Raw genomic sequence first — 20,825 nt, 5'->3', positions numbered from 1 at the left:
GAGCACTCCCCACCGATCCCCTCACTCACTGCCCCTTCACTGAATAACCCAGTAAGTAAGTCAGCTGCTTGAAAGATATTGTAAATAGCTCCAACAAAGTGCAGTTTGGGGCAGATTCCAATTAGCCTTCACTTAATGGTCTTTTTTCCTCTGCCAAGTTTGTGCAGTGAAGATCCAATGCCCCACCCTCTGCCTGGCTCTGAGTTTAGGCGCAGGGAGGAATCAAGTTTGTGCTCAAGCTGATAGATGTCAGCCACAAAGTCTATATGTGTCCCACCTGTAAGCTAAAGAGGGAATCAAAGGTGGTTTCAAAAGGGGTGTGCCTGGCAGTGTGGCAGAGAGCTGGTTTCCTGTGAGTTTCCTTCTTTTGTTTCTCTCCCTGTTGTCTAACCCTAAATTTCCCTGCTGCCACTTAATTATCCCTGATCATTTTACCCTTTTCTCTGCTTACTGGTTGATTATCTCCCCATTTCATTTGAATCCCAGTGGAGGTACATAAGCGCTAAAAACAAAGCTGATGGCCAATTAAAAGGTAAGTGCCTTATGTTAAAAGCCAGAACATTATACTTCAATATTCATAATTAGGTAGCTTTTGAATGGCTGAAGAACAACGCAAGTCCATATAGAGGGCTAATCAGGGCACCTATATTTTGCAATCCAAATCAACCAATGCCTATTAAACTGATTGCTGTGAATTGCCAGCTTCCTTATTGGCTGGCTCAGAGCCTCAGTACTTCATAAATATTAGAGATGTAAAAGACCAAGGAGTTCCTAATGTGTTTATTTCGTTATAATGAATTCTTCAGGCAAGTGATAGGATTACTGAAGCAGAGCTTGGTAAAAAAACCCTACTGATTTTGGCAGCTCTGCTATTCTTCAGGAGTAGCATCTAAATATTACTGAGAAATAGAGCATAAAGATTATTCACTTGGGTGTAATTTTTTTGAGAAAAGGAAAATAAAAATTTATCTTCCACTCTTTCATTTATTTTCCAAATTATCAGATCACTGAAATTTCCACTGGAGCTGTGCAAAATTAAACCGAGACAAGAGCAAGTGAGCAACGGAGTAGGAGACAGTCATTGACAAGGTTCAAGTGCACTTCAGCACTCCCCAGGAAACCCTTACCCCAGCCTGGGAGAAGGCTGGGCTAGTGCTGATCATCTTGAGTGCCCCCCCCCCCCCGCCGTGATTATTCTCCCTGGGGTAAGTCAACTTAGAATCTCCTCTCCGAACTTTTAAGTGTTTGCTAATAATGCACTTAATTTTGGTGGTGGGGAGGCGGGGAGGAGGAGAGTTGTTCAGTCTTGCTTACAGAGTTACGACAATGCCACCTTATAATTCAAGAGCAATGGCAGGCCAGAGAAATGCTCACAGACACCAGGCAAACGCTTTCTAGAAAAGAATTAAGCATTATGATCTCTGCTCTTTGCAAATGCTCTGTCCACTGGGAGGCAGCATAGGCCGCTGGAAAGAAAAATGGGCCAGAGATCTGGGTTCTAATCCCTGAGATGTTACTGATTTGGGGTATGTGTTATGGCCAGCAACAGAATCCTGGTTTAAAATATAGGGCAAAAAAAAGAAAATGGGACAAGAGATGCGGAAGCACTTTGGAGGTAAAGATAGAGCCTGCTGAAAGGAGATCCACACATGTAGAAGTTAGTGGAATATGGAAACTGGTCTTTTTTAACTGTAACTGATCCCCAATGTGGAAAGACTACTATAGGGATTTAAAATAACAGAACAAAGCAAGTACATTTTTAAGACACAATTTTCTAAAGTGTGTTTTTAAGAATCCTGGTCCAGGGAAAAGGTCCTCAGGTCAAATAAATTCTGAAAATGCTAACCACTCCACCACACACACCCCTCTGAGAGATTTACAACACACATTAACATATTAAACCTCGGGGAAGCCCTGTAGTTCAGAAAGCTCTTTTAACTCCCAATCTTACTTGGCAATACAACGCTTCCTCACATACAAACACTAAAACAAATAACCAGCTCCAAGGAGCACACCAAGAAATGCTGTTTTAAACTACTATACATGGCAATAATGTCTGATCCCATATTGGAAAGAAAACATTACTGAACCACCATCCATAGTCTTGGGTGGCTGATCTAGCGGTCTGTGCCATTTTATCCACAATCTCCTCCTTATTCTCTCTGATCAACAACATGCATTTGTGAGGCAGCTGGCCAAGGTGAAAGGTTAATTCTGTGGCCATGAAACTCAGCCCAGCTAACAGACTCAAATGGGGGCTGAACCTTGTCACCTTGGTCCCATTAGCTCTAACCAACTGGGTTGAGTAGCCACAGACATTAGTCTTAGTTATAATCTCTAGGGGGGATAAAAATTTAAAGGCACCAGCACATGGCCAATGAGCTTTAGCATATAAATTTGAGGAGTTTTTAAAATAATATTTAAGATGAAGTTATACTATTTTATAACAGGAAAAAGATAGTCAAGAGGTAATAAAATATGACCTCTGGATCTGGACTCCAGGTGGGTTCAAGTCCCAGTTCTACCATTTAACAGCTGTATGGCCTTGAGCAAATTACTTAACTTATTTGAACCTCAGTCTCAAAATCTGTAAATCAGAATAAACATATTCCATTTCTCAAAGGATTATTATGAGGATTATGTGAAATGATCTATGTCAATGGGTTTAGCACTATGCCTAGCACATGATGAGTATCAATACATATTAGTAATTATCACTGCATGTAAAAGGACGGAATAATCTCAGAAAATGCAGCTCCCTCTGAAGTTAGCATTGGGAACATGCAATTTTGGATTTTTTTTTCTGTCACATGAAGTGTTCTTACCTTGTATTTATCAGAGAATATGCCTCTTAACCTTCACTGAAAATTTCAGTGAGGTTGAGATGGCCTCAGTCAGGTTTTTGTCCTTGAGAAAAATTTCTACATTAATAACTTCAATGGCTATAAAATATGATTCAGCTAACCGAAACTCATTTTACTGGTATATTTCCAGGAATATATTTCTCAAGGGAGATACACCCAAGATAATGCTAAGTAATTGCAAGACATTATTATTTGGCCTAGCCAGTGTTTCCCACCAACACAATAATATATAGATCAGTAAACGGAGCTTCCCACCCCTCGTCACAGGAGCAGGAGTAAGGAGGACCTGGGGAGGGAGACCCAGGGGCTGAGAGGGCAGCAGAAGGCACAGAGAATGATCATGAGGGCACCAGGCAGCAGCAGTGTGCCTCCTGGCCTAGACGCTGGTGGCTACATCAAAGACTGCCCAGACTTGTTGACACACGGAATCATCCCCGGGCATGAAGAACCACCATTTGAAAGTTTACAGGGAGTCACACAGCTGCCACTCCAGAGGTGGAGAGAGAGAGAGAGACTAAGCCAACTTTTCCCATCCCTATCCCATGGTTTACAAGACCATATTTCACATAGACATATCCTGAATTTTTCATCTCTGGAGACCCCAGTGAAAGGCATTTCCATGGTGATCACCTGGAAGGCACCTCTGTAACCAAACACAATACCCTGGCCTCCCCAGACTCCTGGCTCTTAACCTCTGCGACCCTTCCAGGCATATCCAACCCAGGGAGGCCAAATCCCAAAGTCGAGAGGGTTTGTGGTCATTCACAGAAGGCCTGTAGGCTCTCCCTCTGGCTCCTTCTACTTCACTCCTCCCCTCTTGTGACAGTTCATTTGTAACTGTCTCGTGGGTTTTATTTAGTTGTGGTGGGCACAATTAAATGCTGTTCTAACTAACAGAATCCTTGTCCAGAAAACAAAAACCACACAAAAGTCAGTCTGGTTACTTTGGCCACGTTTAGCGATTGTTTCACATCACCACCTCGTCGATCCAATCAACGGTGCGGCGGCTGGCTGTTAATAAAGCTAGATAAAAACAAATTGATTACAAAAAGGTCAATTTGGTACCTAACATTTAGAAGGCTAGAGTTTGAGCAGTTGTCATCTATAGGGAATCACCACAGTATAAAATCAGGAATATTACACCTGAACAAATAGTTACTTGCCTGAAAAGAAAAAAAAAATTATTCTAAAAAAAAGAATGTTATTATTACTTTCTTTTATATCTATCAGTGCTAGAAAATTGAACCTAGAGAAAAAGATAGTGACTTAGTTATTTAAAAATTCCTTGTGGTTATTTGAAAGGTTATTTCAACAAGTAGAAATGGAAATAAACTGGTCAACAAGACCAGGGTAACCCACACATTGTTAGAAAAAGAAATGAGGTCCAACTTACTCATTTTTCTTATTTTCAGAAATAAGCTACTATATGGAGAAATTGTGTCCATAAACTTCCTTTGACTCCCAGAGAAACATAAAGTTTTGAAGAATCCTGACTACCTAAGAATTAAGGAAAGAGTTGAATAATCTTAAAGAGTTCAACTGAGGCCAGGCACAGTGAATCACACCTGTAATCTCAGCACTTTGGGAGGCCGAAGTGGGCAGATCACCTGAGGTCAGGAGTTCAAGACCAGCCTGGTCAACATGGTGAAACCCTGACTCTATTAAAAACACAAAAAATTAGCCAGGCGTGGTGACAGGCTCCTGTAGTCCCAGCTACTCAGGAGGCTGAGGCAAGAGAATCGCTTGAACCCAGGAGGTGGAGGCTGTGGTAAGCCAAGATCATGCCACTGCACTATAGCCTGGGCGGCAGAGTGAGACTCCCAACTCAAAAAAAGAAAAAAAGAATTCAACTGACATGACCAGGGAAGCCAGCCTAAGCTGCCGGTCATGCCCTAGAAAACCTGTTTGTCATAACCAAGTACATTATATTAAGGCCCAATTTAGATCTGCAAAATGTGTGGGAGTCCATTTTTTTATGATCTGCTTCCATATTTCACAGGGTTGAAACAGGCAGAGTGAAGCAGCATAGCGCACCAGTCAGCAGCCAGGTGGCAAACATCAATTTTAGGTAGGGACGTTGCAAGTGCCCCAAGTCACATGTCAACATAGAGAATAGGGGAGGTAGGAGTGGGGGTGGCAGCTGCAGAGAACAAAAGAGGAAACGAATAAGATAGGTCCGACCTAAGAAAAAGGAGGTGTCTATGGGCTGACCTGATGGAGTGAACCAGAAATTCAGACGGCAGCACAGCTAGATACTTTAGAACTACCGGCATCCTAAAATCTGGCTCCCAAGCCTCTGTCATAAAGTAGGTCTGTGTCCTCGGTATAGTCACTTAACCACACTTTGCATCACTCTCCTCATTTGTAAAATCAGAGAGGCTGAACCAAATGGTCTCGAAAACATGCTCTAATTTTGTCTATCCTTCTTTCATGTACTTCCACACACAAGGAGGACCCAATCACCGAAGGTCCCAACATAAGGAAGAACGGAATTGTACTTTGCCTCCCGAGTGATTCTGGGCAAGGAACTGTGCTTGGTTTCTTCTGCTTTGTGCTTCTGCTTCCCCAACAACAGACACCCCACAGAAATACCAGAGGAAGGTCATCCTGGGAGTTGATGGAGTTGATCTGCTCAAGTGCTGCTTTACTAGCAAAGCAATAAGTACATGCCAGAAAGTCTTCTAAGGTTCTCGGTGCATACTGGGATCTCCACTGTAGGTTCCAGGAGAAGACAGAGTAGCTGAAGGGGCAATCTACCTGCAGCCCCCAGGTAAAGTCCAGCTTAGAGCATGCTTTGGAGTGGGACTAAGAGTTTGGTCAGGTGCTAGGGTGGAGTCAGATTTCTTCGTTTCTACCTCAAGACACTCTCACCAGAAGAGAAGGAAGACAAGGAAACTGATGTTGTCACCAAAAAGTACTTATTGTTTATTTGTTAAAAACATGGAGCATGACTATGTAACAGACACTGTACTAATTGCTGGTGTTCAGCGTGGGAGAGCTCTGGGCCCCCACGTGCACATATACACAGATCATAACCGCAACACTGTGTGCCAAGGCTGGCTCACAGACAGACACACAATGCTAGGGGGGCTCACAGGAGAGCCTGGAGAAAGTTAGGAATAGCTTTACGGCAATCCTGATACTTCAGCTGATTCCTGAAGGAGGAAAAACAGTTTGCCAGGTAGCGTGGAGAAGAGAGAATGAATTCAAGGCAGAGAACACAGTACAAAGGCTGAGTCAGCAAGGGGTGTGACCTGCTCAGAGAAGAGTGACAAGTTCAGGGCAGTTGGGATAAAATGCTTTCCCTGACAGTCCAGAAAGGTTTTCCGTATGCATACCTAGGTGATTACTTTAGATGCTTTGTCTTACAGGGATGGTAACAAAACACTATAGCTCACAAATTGGAACATAAGGCTTGACATTGCTAAGAAACAAGCTAAATACATAAATAAATAAAAGCAAGGTGCAGAACAGTATTCATGGTATTCTACTAGTTGTATTTTCAAAATTAGGAAAATACATTCATAATTTGTAAAAATATTTCTAGAAGGGTTTTTTTGTTGTTGTTGTTCAGGAAATTCTCATACAGTGATCCCTGGGTGCCACACACTGATGTAAATACTTTGTATACATTAACTCATTTAAACTGCCCAATAACCCTGGGAGGTAGGTCTATTTTTCTTCATACTCAACAGATTAAGAACTGAGGCAGAGTTCAAATCACTTGTCCAAGGTTAATCTGCCAATTCATAACAGGATGGAAAGCCAAGCTGGATACTATCTCCAGTGCTCTTAACCAGGATGCTTTATCACATCTCATGAGACACCAGCAACTCAGTCACCTCCAGAAGGGGAGAGGGACCAGGAAGACGGGAACAGAGGTGGGAGCCCCATCATATTCTGCATCTCTTCCTCCGCCTAGGGCAGTGCTCCAGCTGAGTGCCAGGCACCTTTCCAGTCTAGAATCTTTTGTCTCTTTTCATTCACAAAAAAAAAATGTAAATACAAAAATGGGACTTTTCTGACATTTTTTAGGTACAGATATCATGGGGTGAGGGAAGGAGGAAGAGGCAGGAAGTAAAAGGAAGCCATAGCCAGTTTCCCTTTCTATTCCCGCCACCAAGTCCAGCAGCACTGCTCGAGCAGAGCCAGAGAAACCAGAGCTACGAGAGGTGGCTAAACGCTAGCCTAGAAGACAAACTTGGTCACATAGAAGTCCCCCCATCCCCCTTTCCTTTCTGTGGTCACTTTCTAGATTAGTCTCAACCGTTGCAGCTGCTCAATGGCGACGCATTTGAAATCAAGACTATGGCACCAGAACAATGCAAAATTGCATTAAAAGGGGCAGCTCCCAAGCCTGCTTCTACAAGGGTGTTTCTCAACAATGATAGGTTGGCTGAGGCGCCCAGAGGTGGAAGGTCCAAGCAGAAAAAGCTTTATTACAACCTACCAACTTCAGTGCAATACACCACCCTAGCCCCGCCTCCACCTTCTTGAACTAGGAGCCCATATATTATACTGTGCCATGGTTCATTTCAGCAAAAATCAACTAGCATTCTTCTGACCTGGGGCAAAAAATTTCCTCATTGAGATCCTGAAAAATAACATTACATCATGTTGCCTGTGTCAGGTTTATAAATGGGCCAAGGGGAGGCTGGGGTGTAACCTGACACTATCAAAACACCGGCCCTGGGAGAAGAAAGGAGGGCATTGTTGCAGGCTGTCAGCTCTCCTCTTGCTGGAGGTAAAGTGAGATGCGAGAAATGTTAGTGGGAGGCCAGGCACAGAGCAGGTCCTCACTCCCTATCTCCTAAAAAATCAGGCAGCCTCCCTCCAAAATGGGCTTGTCCCCATTTCCTGTGGGGTATGTCACCCTCTTCTCTACTCTTCCAGCAGAGTAGATGAGCTAAGTAATTTTTATTCCCAAGCCTCAAAGCAAAGAAACAGGCATTGGATGGCAAAGTCCAGGAGCCAATTTTTTTTTTTTCCTAACCAAGGCATTCCTCTAAACAGACAATCAAAAAGAGAACTGAGCCCCAGTGATTATGTATACACAAGCATCATTATTTGAAACACAGAAGGCCGGGCGCGGTGGCTCACGCCTGTAATCCCAGCACTTTGGGAGGCCGAGGCGGGCGGATCACGAGGTCAGGAGATCGAGACCATCCTGGCTAACACGGTGAAACCCCGTCTCTACTAAAAATACAAAAAAATTAGCCGGGCGTGGTGGCGGGCGCCTGTAGTCCCAGCTACTCGGGAGGCTGAGGCAGAAGAATGGCATGAACCCGGGAGGCGGAGCTTGCAGTGAGCCGAGATTGCGCCACTGCACTCTAGCCTGGGCGACAGAGTAAGACTCCGTCTCAAAAAGAGAAAAAAGAAACACAGAAATGTGAAAAAGGCCCAAAGTTAGAGAGAAAAACAGACCCCAAAAAGGGTTAAGTGAACATCCCACTCTAAGGCAAGAAAGAAATCCTGAAATCTGAGAAAGAAAAAAGCATTTCAAAGTGAAAGGCTGGGGTTCAGATCAGGAGACAAGAAAGTGAGCAAAAGAACATGGGGAGGATTATGGAGCTGGGACAGACACAGAAAGAGCCAAAGGACAAAGTGCTGGCACAAAGAGTAAAAACATTTTAATGGGTAAAAGGAAAGGAAAAAGGATTTATGGTGAGAGAAAGTTCAGAAAATAAAAAGCAAGACAAATGCAAGCCAGCCTCACTGGAGACAGAATTCATTCTGCTGGTCAAACATTTAATTTGATTTTCTCCTTTCATTCTTCCCCATCTCCCAGCTCAGATTTTAAGGAGAGGGGAGCATGCAAATGTACCATCCATGGCAGAATGTGCGTAGATACTTTTGGCAGGAGGGCCAAGCACATTGGCCTGCCAGCCCATCACAGCAAGGGTGATGCCAGCCCTGTGATCATTTAGGACAACAGGCCTAAGGTCCTTGGTGAACCAGAGAACACAGGGACACAGTACAGAACCGATCGCTTGTAGCTCTCCTGGTATTCTGCTTGTTTGTTTCCACCAAATTATTGCTAATCCTATCATCACTCTATGAAGACCTTAACCTCTTACAAAGGATCTCCCCAGCCACCCCCAGTGCCTTCCTGGCTTAATTCACTAACAATTAAGAAAGCAGGCCATAGACCAATGGGTTCCTCACTGCTAAACTCTGCTTTTATGTTAACCCCACCGCATTCTCTTTGGAACCCAACAGGGACCCCCTCAACTAAAGCAGAATGATGCCCCGTGGCCCAAGTTCACCATTCTTCAAAGCAGCTTTCCCACAGAGCCCTGGAACCAGCCCCTTCTTGCTTCAAAGGTGAGAAGGGGAGGGGCTCATGGACCACCGTCAAGCTCAGAGCTTACATTTCTCTCACAATTCCAGTCCCTCAAATCTCTTTCCCGGGGAGATTGTGGTTGGCACCAGAGCCTGCTGCATTGGGCTGATGGCAAGCAGGGATTTGGGGCAGATGAGGCAAAGGAGGCGGCGGCCACCAATTGCCTCAATGCTAAACCTGACAGAACAAAAGGAGACGCGCAGGCATGGAAGGTGGGGCCCTTCGACAGAGGGCATCGTGAATGTGCACCAACCCTCTGGTGTAACAGGTTCCGGTCTTGGGGGTTCTGTGACTACTTCTGTTATGACGCCAGGAAGCCTTTTGCTAAGACACCCCCCAGTCATGGGGCTCCTGTCTGTTGAAGATGCCCATGAGTTTTCCAACTCTCCTCTTCTTCTTTTACCATATCCCCCCCAACATTAAATTATTCATTGTATTTAACTAAAGAAAGACTGAGTGCCTACTACGTGCCAGTCACTGGCTTAGGTGCTGGGAATACAACTGTAAGCCAGGTAAGAATAGTCTCTGCCTCTAAGCCTGTCTACCCCTTCCTTTCCCTATCCAAGGCTCTTACCAAGCGCAACAGAAAGGTTTTAGGTGATTTCATGAAATCCATGCGGCTCACACAGATTTGCTCAAAAAGCAGTCCCTAGTACTCTAGAAGAAGCCGAGAATCTCAGAGGATCCAGAGAAATGTGGAATGGGAAAGCCTCAAGGAGCCTGAGGAGAGAAATGGGATTTGAGGGGATGGAGGACATTTAAAAGAAAAGGGAAAGAAGGGTGTGGCGACAGGAAAATGGTGATTTTAGGAATTTGCCTACACATTTTTCAGACTGTTATACGTGTCCTGCCATGCCATCTATCCCCTCAGGTGTTCTTACCTAGGATTTCAGGAAGAAAATACTGGTACAAAAAAATGTGCCTAACATGCTGAAGCAGGGTGGGTTACAGGGAACAGCTGTGTCCAACCAGCACGCTCAATTTTGTGTCCCCAGAGACTTGGTCTCTTGTTCTGAACTTATCACTCAGGAAAGAAAAAATAAAAAAGGCAATGTTAAGAGAAGTTTCCTGTACATCAGTGTAGTGTGGGAACTTTTTTAAATTATTAAAAAAAAAGAAAAGAAAAGAACAAAGAGGCCTCCTGAAAAGTCTGACACCTCTGGCCCTAAATTTATTTTCTCATTAATGAGTAAAGGGGGATTTATTGTCTGAAACAATGTCTGTTTTATATTACCTCTTTTTCCCTGTTTTCCCCTCAGACAGTGGAGCTCCAAAGAGACCAAGAGCAGATGTTTTATATTTCAGGAGAAAGCAGTCTCCACAATTCCTAAGAGATTCCTGGAATTCTTATACTTAACAAAAATTAGCCACAGAGAAAGAATCATGAATTGGGAGCCCATGAAGCCTCTGGGAGCCAATCATTTCTTCTCTTCCTCCTACCAACCTTGTACCATCCAAAATGCTGCCTGTGGCCCCCTGCATTCCATGGGAAAGCCCCTCTGAATCACAAGGTGTCCAGCTCTGCTAGTTGCCCAAACAGCTCAGCCACATTTTGTGACTAGAGATGCCCATTTCTGAGCCATACTCTCAAGAGTTAGAAGTGGGAGTCAGACCTCAGTTCCAATTCTGGCTCAGTGTTTGCTTTCTTACTCAAATTTTTAGTAATAAATATCTCTATTTCCTCATCTGTCTAATAGAGATGACAACATATGGCCTATCTCTCTTGCTGGATTAATGCAAAGATCAAGTGAGATGCAAGTGCACACTAATAAGTTAAATACTTACAAAAGTGGAAAGTATTTTTGTTAAAAATCATTAAAATCTGGCATTCTTTTACCAGAGACTTTGTGTTAACCAGTACACTCCGCATAGGTGGAAGGCAGGATGACCTGAGGCACACAACACTGAAAATGGCCTCAGCTGGGCTCTCAGAGGTGGCTCACCTCACTCAGGTCCTTTCCCATTCCTTCTAAAGGATGTTGCGAGCCTTCCTTTAACCATTCAACATTTATTCAATAAACATTTATTGAGCACCTGGCACAGTACTTGGCACATGCTGGGCACTCAGTAAGTATCTGTTGAATAATGAATGAATAAGTGCCTAATGCAGACATGAGAAATACAGGGCAAGTTGCCATCAGTCCCTGATCCTGAAATCACTAATCAGAAATCACTAATGGATGAAGGCACTCTTCTCTGCAGACTCTGGACTCAGCTGAGAATACTCAGACTTGGAACATGAAATGAAACCTATTTGCCATTTCTGGCCTATGCACAAAGATGAAACACTTTTTATCCCTGCTTTCACAGAGCTCACAGACATAGGAAAACCTGATAGAAAATACATGAAGTTAACATAATATATGTTAAGATAGAAGTATAAGAGCCCAGAGGAAGGCTGTGGCATCTAATGATGCGGATGAACCTATAGTTCTCAAACTCCCCTTGGCTTTTAAGATGCTACTCCCTCCAGATTTTTCTCTTGCCTCTCTGATAATCCTGTTCTTAACCTCTCCACTAACCACCTTGCCAAATATTTGGCCTTCTCAGGGTTTGGCCCTGGTCTGCTTCTATACTGTGTAGGCTCTCTTGGATCACTGCATTCCCTCTCACGGCATCAATCGCTATTTACACACTGATTATATCCAAATTTATGTCTCTAGCCCTGACCTCTCTCTGAAGCTTCAGTCATATATTTCCAACTGCCTCCTGGACAGCTCCACTTGAATATCCTACAGGCTACTCAAAATCTAACTCGTCAACTCTCTCCTTCTAACCTTCCTCAGTAGCTTTCTTCAGCCTCTGGTAATCTTGATATCCTTTGAGACATTGCTATTCTTCACTTACAAACTAGAAACCTTGGTATTAACATCAACTCTTCCTTCTCCCTCAAACCACCTTCCCATTAGCAAATTGCTTAAATTTAATCGCAAAAATAGCTTTTTAAACTCATTCATCCCACTTACTACACCATCTCTCACCTTCTAGCTCATTTTTTTCTAATCTCACCCCCACTTTAATCCATCCTCCACAGAGACACCAAAATTACCTTAAAGTACAAATCTGATCTTGTTACCTCTCATCCCCTTCCCTTGCACTGTCCTCTGATTTTTCAATAGTCCCCAACTGCCTTCAAGATAAAATTCCTCGCCTGGCATAATCTGACCCCAATCTACTTACTCCTGTTATGGCCCTGCAGATCATATGACCCTGGGCCTTTGCCCATGCGGTGCTCTCACAGCCTGGTGTGCCACAAACTTGCTCTTCAGCAACCTCTTGCATCCTGCAATATCCAGAAATCCCATTCCAACGTCACTTTGAAATACTTCCCCAGTACCTCATGTCAGAGTTAGTTATACCATCTTCTGTAAATAAATGATTTTATAAGAGTCTGAAATTCCTCTCATAAAAAAACTTGTTATATGTAAGGCAGTATTAATATTAGTATTAATGTAATATATCTTATAAAATGTGCAAATATCATGTTTCCATGCACAAAGAATGAACTGTTTCATACACTCATTAAATAAATATGAAGACTCTACCATGCAGCAGGGACTGTTCTAGTTGCTAAGGATACAGCAACAAGACAAAGTCCCTGCCATCATGGAGCTTATGTTCCAGCAGGAAAGAGAGACAATAAGCAAATACGACATCGGATTCTCAGATATCATAGATTTATACAGAATGCTTTTTATTGAGACAGAGTCTCACTCTGTTGTTCAGGCTGGAGTGCAGCGGCGCTACCTCAGCTCACTGAAACCTTCGCCTCCCAGGTTCAAACAATTCTCATAGCTCACTGCAACCTCCGCCTCCCAGGTTCAAACAATTTTCGTAGCTCACTGCAACCTCCGCCTCCCAGGTTCAAACAATTCTTGTGCCTCAGCCTCCTGAGGAGCTGGGAATACAGGCGTCCACCACCACTCCCAGCTAATTTTTGTACTTTTAATACAGATGGGGTTTCATCATGTTGGCCAGGCTGGTCTCAAACTCCTGGCCTCAAGCAATCTACCCGCCTTGGCCTCCCAAAGCACTGGGATAACAGGCGTGAGCCACCACACCTGGCCATATAGCAGAATGCATTTATTGGAGAGACTGAAAGATGAGAGTTATTTTAAATATACACAACAAATTACAACTCTTGAATAATGAAAGAATTTTTAAAAATCCCTTGAAGCTGAAAAGAATTGCTCTTACACTACCCACAGCCTTTTGCCTATTCACTATCATCAATATGCTTATGTTATTATAAAAATAGAGAGTGCAACTCCAGGAAAATCTACCCAATCTAGGGAAACTGGAGGGAAGGCATGAATTACCAAAAGTGTCTGAATTCAAAGAATTTTAATGAAAAATAAAATCTTAAAACTTTATGAGACATAAACTCTAACTACTGATAAACTGTTTCCACAAAGAGGCACCATCAGACCTATTTTTGAGCAGAGTATAAATTGGAATTGGTATGCAAATAGATGTTGTTTACTTTATAAAGCCTTTTAAAAGTTTGTTTATTTAAACCAGCTAAATAATCCCCGCAAGCAACCTTGAGTACATAAACCCAGCACCCTACACATTTAAATGCTCAACATGTATGTATTAATTTCATAGCTTTATTTATATGCTTGGTCAGTTGCCTTTTACAGGAGGGCTTCACAAACCACCAAACATTCTAAACACTGGAGTTTCAATTAACGGGGTTGTATTATGCCTCCTTTAAAGAAGAGTAAAAGCCATCAGCACAGCCAATCAGGAAAACTGGAGAGACCCAAGGCCCCTCTTCTCACTAAAAAGGGCCCTGTTCTTCCCATAACAAAGAGTGCCTCCTCTACAGGAGCCCTACAGAGGTTAAACTCACCAGGCTGTCCCTAAAAGACTTGTTCATCTGTTGTAGAATACCTTAATCCCTACCATAGCCCTGGAAGCTCTGCTGTGGAATTTTAGGACAAAAGTCATATTTCTTCAAAACAAAAAAAAAAGGATTTTAACAAAAATGTTCTTCGGCCAGTCTGCTCCCCTCTGCCCCTTACATCCCCTTTATCTGGAGAACTCTAATTCATTCTTAGATCTCTGCCTATGTGTCTTCTCTTTAGAAGAAACTTCTGTGACTGCGTCATCCTCACCAAGACAATAAGGTGCCCTCCTAAACATTCCCAGGATACTCTCTCAGTATCCCCATCACAGCATTTAATACCCTGGACTAGGCCTATTTCTTTGACTGCCCCACAAGAACACAGGTTCCTTGAGATTAGGGTCTATGATGTGATTACTGGTGTCTTCCATACACGGCACACAGCACTTGTTACTAGAAGGCACTCCACCTCTATGGAATAAAGGAAGATGGTTTGTCTTGTCTTTTTCCATTCTTTACTTTTATTTGTTTATTTACTTGGGAAACAGAGTGAGAAATTTCAAATACACTTTGTCTAAAAGCACAGTATTTCATAAATGAAAAAAAAAATAGTCACTGATATGAAGATGTCTTAGGGAAAGCCACAAAAGAATGACTCAGTTCTACACCAAGATGCATTTCCTACTTATTACTAAGAATTCTTCCTATTAAAATTTAATGCAGTCTTCTCTAGCAGTTCATTTTGTCTGCCAAGTCCTTTATGACTATTTTGATAAGTTATTTATTACATATGAATGCCGCTATAATAAGTGGATAGCATAGGCAACGGCTCTCAGGACAGAATAAAAAAGGGTCATGTCCAGCCTTCATTTGTTAAGGCCAAATCACTAGATCCTGTGACCAGTAGTTATCACTGAGTGCTGGCCTGACTGGCAGGGCATCCTGGCACACAGTAGGCACTCAATACATGTAACTGCTGAATGCACAAATGAATGAATGTCAGGGTGGAAGGGACCTCAGATTGTAACCCTTAGAGTAATGGGAACACTGTGCAATAATGATGAAACACAGGTGGATACAAAGGCAAGCAACCAAACATAGTGTGGTCAAGAACAACTTACATATCCTCTGTGAGGCTTTGTCACTTCATTTCTAAAATGGAAGTGGCAATAGAATTAAATGATAGGCCGGACGCAGTGGCTCACGCCTGTAATCATAGCACTTTGGGAAGCTGAGGCAGGCGGATTGCCTGAGCTCAGAAGTTCGAGACTAGCCTGAACAACATAGTGAAACCTCATTTCTACTAAAATACAAAAGATTAGCTGGATGTGGTGGCACACACCTATAGTCCCAGCTACCTGGGAGGCTGAGGCAGGAGAACTGCTTGAACCTGGGAGGCAGAGGCTGCAGTGAGCCGTGATCGTGCCACTGCACTCCAGCCTGGGTGACAGAGACTCATCTCTAAAAAAAAAAAAAAAAAAAAAAAAAAAAAAAAATGAAATGACATAATGTACAGAGTGTCTTGCATTAATGTCTAGCAAACAGTATCTGCTTAAAATTATTATCTGTTATTATTTCATAGATAGATACAATTCAGGTACTAAACTGAAAAGTATAAAACATCAGACTAAACTTAAAACTTGAAATGTATAAAAGAGATGTCTCTAGGAAATAGTATAAACTCAGGACATGACTTATGTAGGTATCCTCCATACAGTTTATTGTAAGCATTCTATTTGAGTAGAAATGATGTTTGGTAAAGGTAATCACACCTTAAACAAACTGAAAAGTCTGTTATCTAAAAATAATGCAGTACTTTGATGGCTTACATATTGTAGCTTAAAAACACATATTACATTGAATTATACAAGGATTTCTTTTGGAAGTGTTTATTTGTATATGTATCTGTGGATCTGTATTTTCACATAATGGAGTTGCTTAAAGTGAAGATTATCCCATATCCAGGTATAATTATACCAGCACTGTGAAAGTCCTCTAGCTACATCTGGCCAGGTCCTCCAGGACAAATCCGCATTATTTTGCCCTAATTTTAATTTTTAATACATGGGACAGAGTCAAAGTTTCTCCATATTCTGTTTAACTCAGGCAGTTATTCAAAATTCCTGTCTTTTGCAAACATCAATTTCAACCTTGACTTAAAGAGAAAGAAATGAAGCAAACACAAAGAGATAAAAGGAAAAGCAGAAAAAAATAAAATGCACCCTTTTGGCCCTGCTTTCTACAGGAAAAGAAAAAAAAAAATGCTGCTTCCCTAGCCTCATTCTGACTCTGTTCCTCATGGTTACTTTCAGAAAAAGCCAAAGGGGTAGGGGTGGAGTGGGTATGGAAGAAGGAAGGGAAGGGACGGATTATAAGGAAGGTAGGGGAAAAAATAGCTGCAGAAGAAAAGACGAAAAAAGAAGAAAGGAGAGCTGAAACCCGACACTCAGGAACTCAGGCCTCCAGCAAGAGACTTCTTGGACAGCAAACCTGCCAGCCGGGACGGGACGTGGACTGGTTCCAATGGCAGCCTTCATTAACGCTTCATACACTCAGCCCTTAATTTACAACCGTTTAACGGCAAACATTCCACAAGTACCTTTGAGGGCAGAAAGAAATCTAAGAGAAATTAGGTGCCTAGAGAGCTCCCCTCAAAGGCAAGAGCCCTTTCGTGCAAGTAAGCAATTTTGCTGCCTCCCATTTTTTTTTTTTTTTTCAATCTGTTTGGGACTTTGAGGGCTGGGGTGGGAAGGTAGTGGAATGGAATAGATAAACAGCCAGTCAAGAGCTGTGGGGAGGTTGACAGAATTGGGGTGCAGGTACATGTAGGATACACAGAAGCTTTGTGTCTGTGGAGGCTGTATGAGTCTGTGGGTGAGCAGCATGTCTAAGTGGGTGGAAACATGTATAGCTAAAGGCAGGAACTCTTCCCATACAGCTAAACCCTTGTTCAAGCAATTTAAATAAACAAGAACATTTTAAAAAATTAAAACCCCACTAAAACAATCCTTGTGGAGCAGTTTTCTTGAGTGCTTAAGTAGAGACCAGATTCAAAAAAGGATTAAGAGAATGTCGCATAACCAAGCTGCAGAAACTGAAACCGAGCGGGGTGTGAGGGGAGATGGCTTGGAGGGTGGGGCCCTCCCATAGCAATTTCAGCAAGCCTTTCTAGTCATCCCTTAAGCTTTGTTTCCCTTCAGCCCATACCTGTGCGTACTGTAAACAACTCACACATGGTTGTAACTAGCCAGGGCCCAGAACTGGTTAGGCAGCTTTTCTCCCAAGGCCACAGTGAAGAATCAGTCTCAGCCAAAACACAGGAGTCCTGGAAAGAAGACTTGAACTCCCTCTTTTCTGGCAGGAGAATGGGGAAAGGGAGGCTAAACAGATTACCTTTTAACTAACAACTTTATCTAAACGGATTAACATTGAAGATTAACCTTCCTGGAGCCACAGAGCTGAATCCCCACTCCTAGGGTGCATGGCTGAGTGGAAGCTGGTCTCTGCTCTCAGCCAGGATCTGGTTCCAACCTCTGTCTGAAACGGAGGGCAGTATCTTAGCTAACTTCCTTTTAAAGGTGCTCTCTCAAGTCTCTCCAGAATGGGCTCCATGGAAAGTTAATCCCACAGGCTAAGGGGTCTCATCTTCACAGTATCCAACTGCAGCATTTAAATGCACTTCATCTTCCCTGGAACAACAGGAAAATACAGTGAAAGCTCAAAATGAGGCAGGTGACAGGGACTGGGAAGAAGGGCTTGTACTAAGCGTGGAACAGGTGAGATGCAACACCATGCCCTGTTCTGCCAAAATTAAGACCCTCCTGCCACAGTTTAAGCTAAAGTCTGTGTACTCCCTCATTCCCACCTCCTCCAGAAAAGGGCACTTGCATGCTTTCTGTTAAAGTGAGATGGTTTTTTCCCCTATTCCAGTGGAATACGGTAAAATCCTTATCCCTTCATAATGGGCTTACCTGAAAGTGAATGAGGCTTCCTGGGAAAACCCTTCTAAAGGAGTGTCGGATGCCTCAGAAAGAACTAGAGTTACCTTCCTCCTTTCTGTTTCATCAAAATCATAGCAGTTTCTTAGCTTAGGGACTCTAAAGGTGGTTGCTATTGAACTGTGAATCTGGTTAATCTCAGGTTAAGTTCACCTCTGTGTCTGCTTTTTTTTTTTTTTTTTTTTTTTTTTTGAGACAGAATCTTGCTCTGTCGCCCAGGCTGGAGTGCAATGGCACAATCTCGGCTCACTGCAACCTCGGCCTCCCAGGTTCAAGCAATTCTTTCTCAGCCTCCCGAGTAGCTGGGACTACAGGCGCCCACCGCCACGCCCGGCTAATTTTTGTATTTTTAGTAGAGACGGGGTTTCACCACACTGGTTAGGCTGGTCTCAAACTCCTGACACCTCAGGTGATCTGCCCGCCTCGGCCTCCCAAAGTGCTGGGATTACAGGCATGAGCCACTGCGCCCAGCCCTGTGTCTGCTATTCTGAGAGCAGAAGAATCTCCAATTTTTATAAAATGCAAGCCATTCCTCAGGTATGAAGATGACAACCTCTGGCCCATTAGAAGTGAGTTGTTTGGATTACTTCAGTGGCTGGATCAATCTTGATCGGTGTGACCAGAAGCAAACGTGTCTGAGATGGCTTGACCACTTTAGGGATGAAGTCTGTGGCCAATGAATGCAGTAAATAAACTAACAGGCCCACAAGGGATTGAGCCCCTAGTCATGTGTTTACTAGCCCGGTGCTTTAACCAGTTAAGCTACACTGTGTTAAACAGGCATGGGGCTGCCTCAGGAATCAAATGTGCCAAAAGCTCTGTTTGCCTTTTGTGGCAAGAGAGGGAATGCAGGCAGACTTTAGTTAAAAAGCAGTAGTAGGCTAGGCGCAGTGGCTCACGCCTGTAATCCCAAAACTTTGGGAGGCTGAGGCGGGTAGATCACCTGAGGTCAGGAGTTCGAGACCAGCCTGACTAACATTGTGAAACCCCATATCTACTAAAAATACAAAAATCAGCCGATGGTGGCGGGCACCTGTAATCCCAGCTACTCGGGAGGCTGAGGCAGGAAAATCACTTGAACCCAGGAGGTGGAGGTTGCGGTGAGCCGAGATCACGCCACTGCACTCCAGCCTGGGCGACAGAGTAAGACTCTGTATCAAAAAAAAAAAAAAAAAAAAAAAGCAGCAGCATACTTTAGGCTCTTAATATTTTCATTATTTTAGTCTAGCCTTACAGAAGCAATACATCTTGGATTTTTTAACACAGTCCTGACTCAAGTATCCCATTTAAATTTTCCCATAATTATACTCACAATTGTAAGACCAAACAGACTAAATTGAGATTTAGGAAATGGGAACACCATATTTAAAGTACTCAACATTAGGACAGGTGCTTCAGATGCCAGGACGATTTGGGTCTTAGCATTGCCCCTAAACTGGCAGCTGTGAATTAAAATTTGGTTTGGAAAAGAATTGCTCATGAGGTCTGAGTTGCACACACACTGGCTTCAACTTTTGTTGGCTTGTTTCAAAAGAGCACAGAAGCTTTTTAAGAAAAGAAGAAAAAAAAAGCGGGGAGAGGGGGTTTGTACAAAGCCAGCTCTTTGCTTAGCAAACCAGTAGGAAAAATAAAATGAAAGAACACATATGCAAAGATGTATTTCCAGTTTTCACTCCAGCAGTAGGCTTTTGGAAGGGCACAACCCATTGAATCTAAGCTTCCCTAAGCATTTATATTATATAACAGAGCAAGAAATGAGACAAGTGTCCCTACAGTCGCCAGGCATCCTGTGTCCAAACCCCATTCCCAGTTATCCCCATGCCAGGCCTGTGCCCCTCCCCTCCTGAGGGACAGTCCCACTCCAGGCAGCTTTTATAACAAGTCTCAACCCTCAAAAGAAAAACAATGGGTTTGAACTATTAACCCTTCCCCAGAAAGGACTAAAATTAAGAAGAGGCCGCTGGCAAAATGTTCACATGGGAATACTGTAAAAAATAACAAGGTAAATATGCGCCCACAATTGCAGATTTGCCCGAAGAAAGAGAAAAGAAACAAAAATGGAGGGGGGTGTGGCTGAGCAGTAGAAGACGACTGGAAGGTCAAGCTCAGAATCTATTAAGAAAGAATTATACCTGCACATCATGTATCCCAGAACTTAAAATTAATAATTAATTAATTTTAAAAAAAAAGAATTACACAATTTAGAAAGAACTGGAGTTCATGCTGGTCTCAGAGGGGAGCAAAGTTAGAGTAGTGTTAGACATGAGATCTATTGGGAGAGAATGAAAAGAGGGGCAAAATCATCTGATAAAGCTACTGGCAGAAACACTCTTCTTTGCAAAAAAAAAAAAAAAAATCAGGAGGAAAAAAGAGACAGAAAATAAATCTGGTGTAAAGAAACACCGTGATGTCTATCAGCAGGGCGGGGTTGGTCAGGACATAGACTGGAGCTGGACAAACCAGGATTCAAATTAACGCTCAGCCACACACCTGTTGAATAACCTGGGGCAACTGAGCCTCTGTTTTCTTTTATGTAAAAGTGGGATAATGATCCCTCCCCTTCCTACCTCCGGGTAGTTTTAAAGGTCAAATCTAATCACATAAATGAAATATGCTATACGCTCCGAGGTATGACACAATGTCAAGCTATTTCAGGTGTAAGGCTCTTTATGAAAAATTTGGCTGCCCAGGTAGCTCTTCTAAAAGTTAAAAAGAATAAAAAAGGCAGAGTGTCATTGGAAAGGGTGGTGCTTGTTGCTCAGAAAGGATAA

The 20,825-nt window shown here is 43.0% G+C and overlaps 1 protein-coding gene across 12 annotated transcripts in view, besides 10 other annotated features; it reads right to left on the bottom strand.

Annotated features, from left to right (window-relative positions):
• PBX1 (PBX homeobox 1) overlaps positions 1–20,825 on the bottom strand; it is a 326,864-nt gene that overhangs the window by 266,566 nt on the left and 39,473 nt on the right. The window lies entirely within an intron of this gene.
• Positions 6,419–6,958: an enhancer, noted in NCBI's record as "H3K27ac-H3K4me1 hESC enhancer chr1:164581761-164582300 (GRCh37/hg19 assembly coordinates)". NCBI's record gives its function as "activates a minimal SCP1, AML or CMV promoter by ChIP-STARR-seq in primed H9 embryonic stem cells {active_cell/tissue: H9 hESC(primed)}" and the evidence as "EXISTENCE:reporter gene assay evidence [ECO:0000049][PMID:30033119]".
• Positions 6,959–7,500: an enhancer, noted in NCBI's record as "H3K27ac-H3K4me1 hESC enhancer chr1:164581219-164581760 (GRCh37/hg19 assembly coordinates)". NCBI's record gives its function as "activates a minimal SCP1, AML or CMV promoter by ChIP-STARR-seq in primed H9 embryonic stem cells {active_cell/tissue: H9 hESC(primed)}" and the evidence as "EXISTENCE:reporter gene assay evidence [ECO:0000049][PMID:30033119]".
• Positions 6,959–8,042: a biological region, named in NCBI's record as "hESC enhancers GRCh37_chr1:164581219-164581760 and GRCh37_chr1:164581219-164581760".
• Positions 7,356–7,650: an enhancer, noted in NCBI's record as "tiled region #14887; HepG2 Activating DNase unmatched - State 5:Enh". NCBI's record gives its function as "activates a minimal TATA promoter and a strong SV40 promoter by Sharpr-MPRA in HepG2 cells {active_cell/tissue: HepG2}" and the evidence as "EXISTENCE:reporter gene assay evidence [ECO:0000049][PMID:27701403]".
• Positions 7,501–8,042: an enhancer, noted in NCBI's record as "H3K4me1 hESC enhancer chr1:164580677-164581218 (GRCh37/hg19 assembly coordinates)". NCBI's record gives its function as "activates a minimal SCP1, AML or CMV promoter by ChIP-STARR-seq in primed H9 embryonic stem cells {active_cell/tissue: H9 hESC(primed)}" and the evidence as "EXISTENCE:reporter gene assay evidence [ECO:0000049][PMID:30033119]".
• Positions 8,043–8,584: an enhancer, noted in NCBI's record as "H3K4me1 hESC enhancer chr1:164580135-164580676 (GRCh37/hg19 assembly coordinates)". NCBI's record gives its function as "activates a minimal SCP1, AML or CMV promoter by ChIP-STARR-seq in primed H9 embryonic stem cells {active_cell/tissue: H9 hESC(primed)}" and the evidence as "EXISTENCE:reporter gene assay evidence [ECO:0000049][PMID:30033119]".
• Positions 8,775–9,327: an enhancer, noted in NCBI's record as "H3K27ac-H3K4me1 hESC enhancer chr1:164579392-164579944 (GRCh37/hg19 assembly coordinates)". NCBI's record gives its function as "activates a minimal SCP1, AML or CMV promoter by ChIP-STARR-seq in naive H9 embryonic stem cells {active_cell/tissue: H9 hESC(naive)}" and the evidence as "EXISTENCE:reporter gene assay evidence [ECO:0000049][PMID:30033119]".
• Positions 9,328–9,881: an enhancer, noted in NCBI's record as "H3K27ac-H3K4me1 hESC enhancer chr1:164578838-164579391 (GRCh37/hg19 assembly coordinates)". NCBI's record gives its function as "activates a minimal SCP1, AML or CMV promoter by ChIP-STARR-seq in naive H9 embryonic stem cells {active_cell/tissue: H9 hESC(naive)}" and the evidence as "EXISTENCE:reporter gene assay evidence [ECO:0000049][PMID:30033119]".
• Positions 15,737–16,501: an enhancer, noted in NCBI's record as "OCT4-NANOG-H3K27ac hESC enhancer chr1:164572218-164572982 (GRCh37/hg19 assembly coordinates)". NCBI's record gives its function as "activates a minimal SCP1, AML or CMV promoter by ChIP-STARR-seq in naive H9 embryonic stem cells {active_cell/tissue: H9 hESC(naive)}" and the evidence as "EXISTENCE:reporter gene assay evidence [ECO:0000049][PMID:30033119]".
• Positions 16,502–17,267: an enhancer, noted in NCBI's record as "OCT4-NANOG-H3K27ac hESC enhancer chr1:164571452-164572217 (GRCh37/hg19 assembly coordinates)". NCBI's record gives its function as "activates a minimal SCP1, AML or CMV promoter by ChIP-STARR-seq in naive H9 embryonic stem cells {active_cell/tissue: H9 hESC(naive)}" and the evidence as "EXISTENCE:reporter gene assay evidence [ECO:0000049][PMID:30033119]".

This window comes from Homo sapiens, chromosome 1, assembly GCF_000001405.40.
Source record: "Homo sapiens chromosome 1, GRCh38.p14 Primary Assembly".
Classification (NCBI taxonomy): Eukaryota; Metazoa; Chordata; class Mammalia; order Primates; family Hominidae; genus Homo; species Homo sapiens.
The sequence above is the reverse complement of the archived record's forward strand: the minus strand, read 5'-3'. Positions and strand labels throughout refer to the sequence as shown.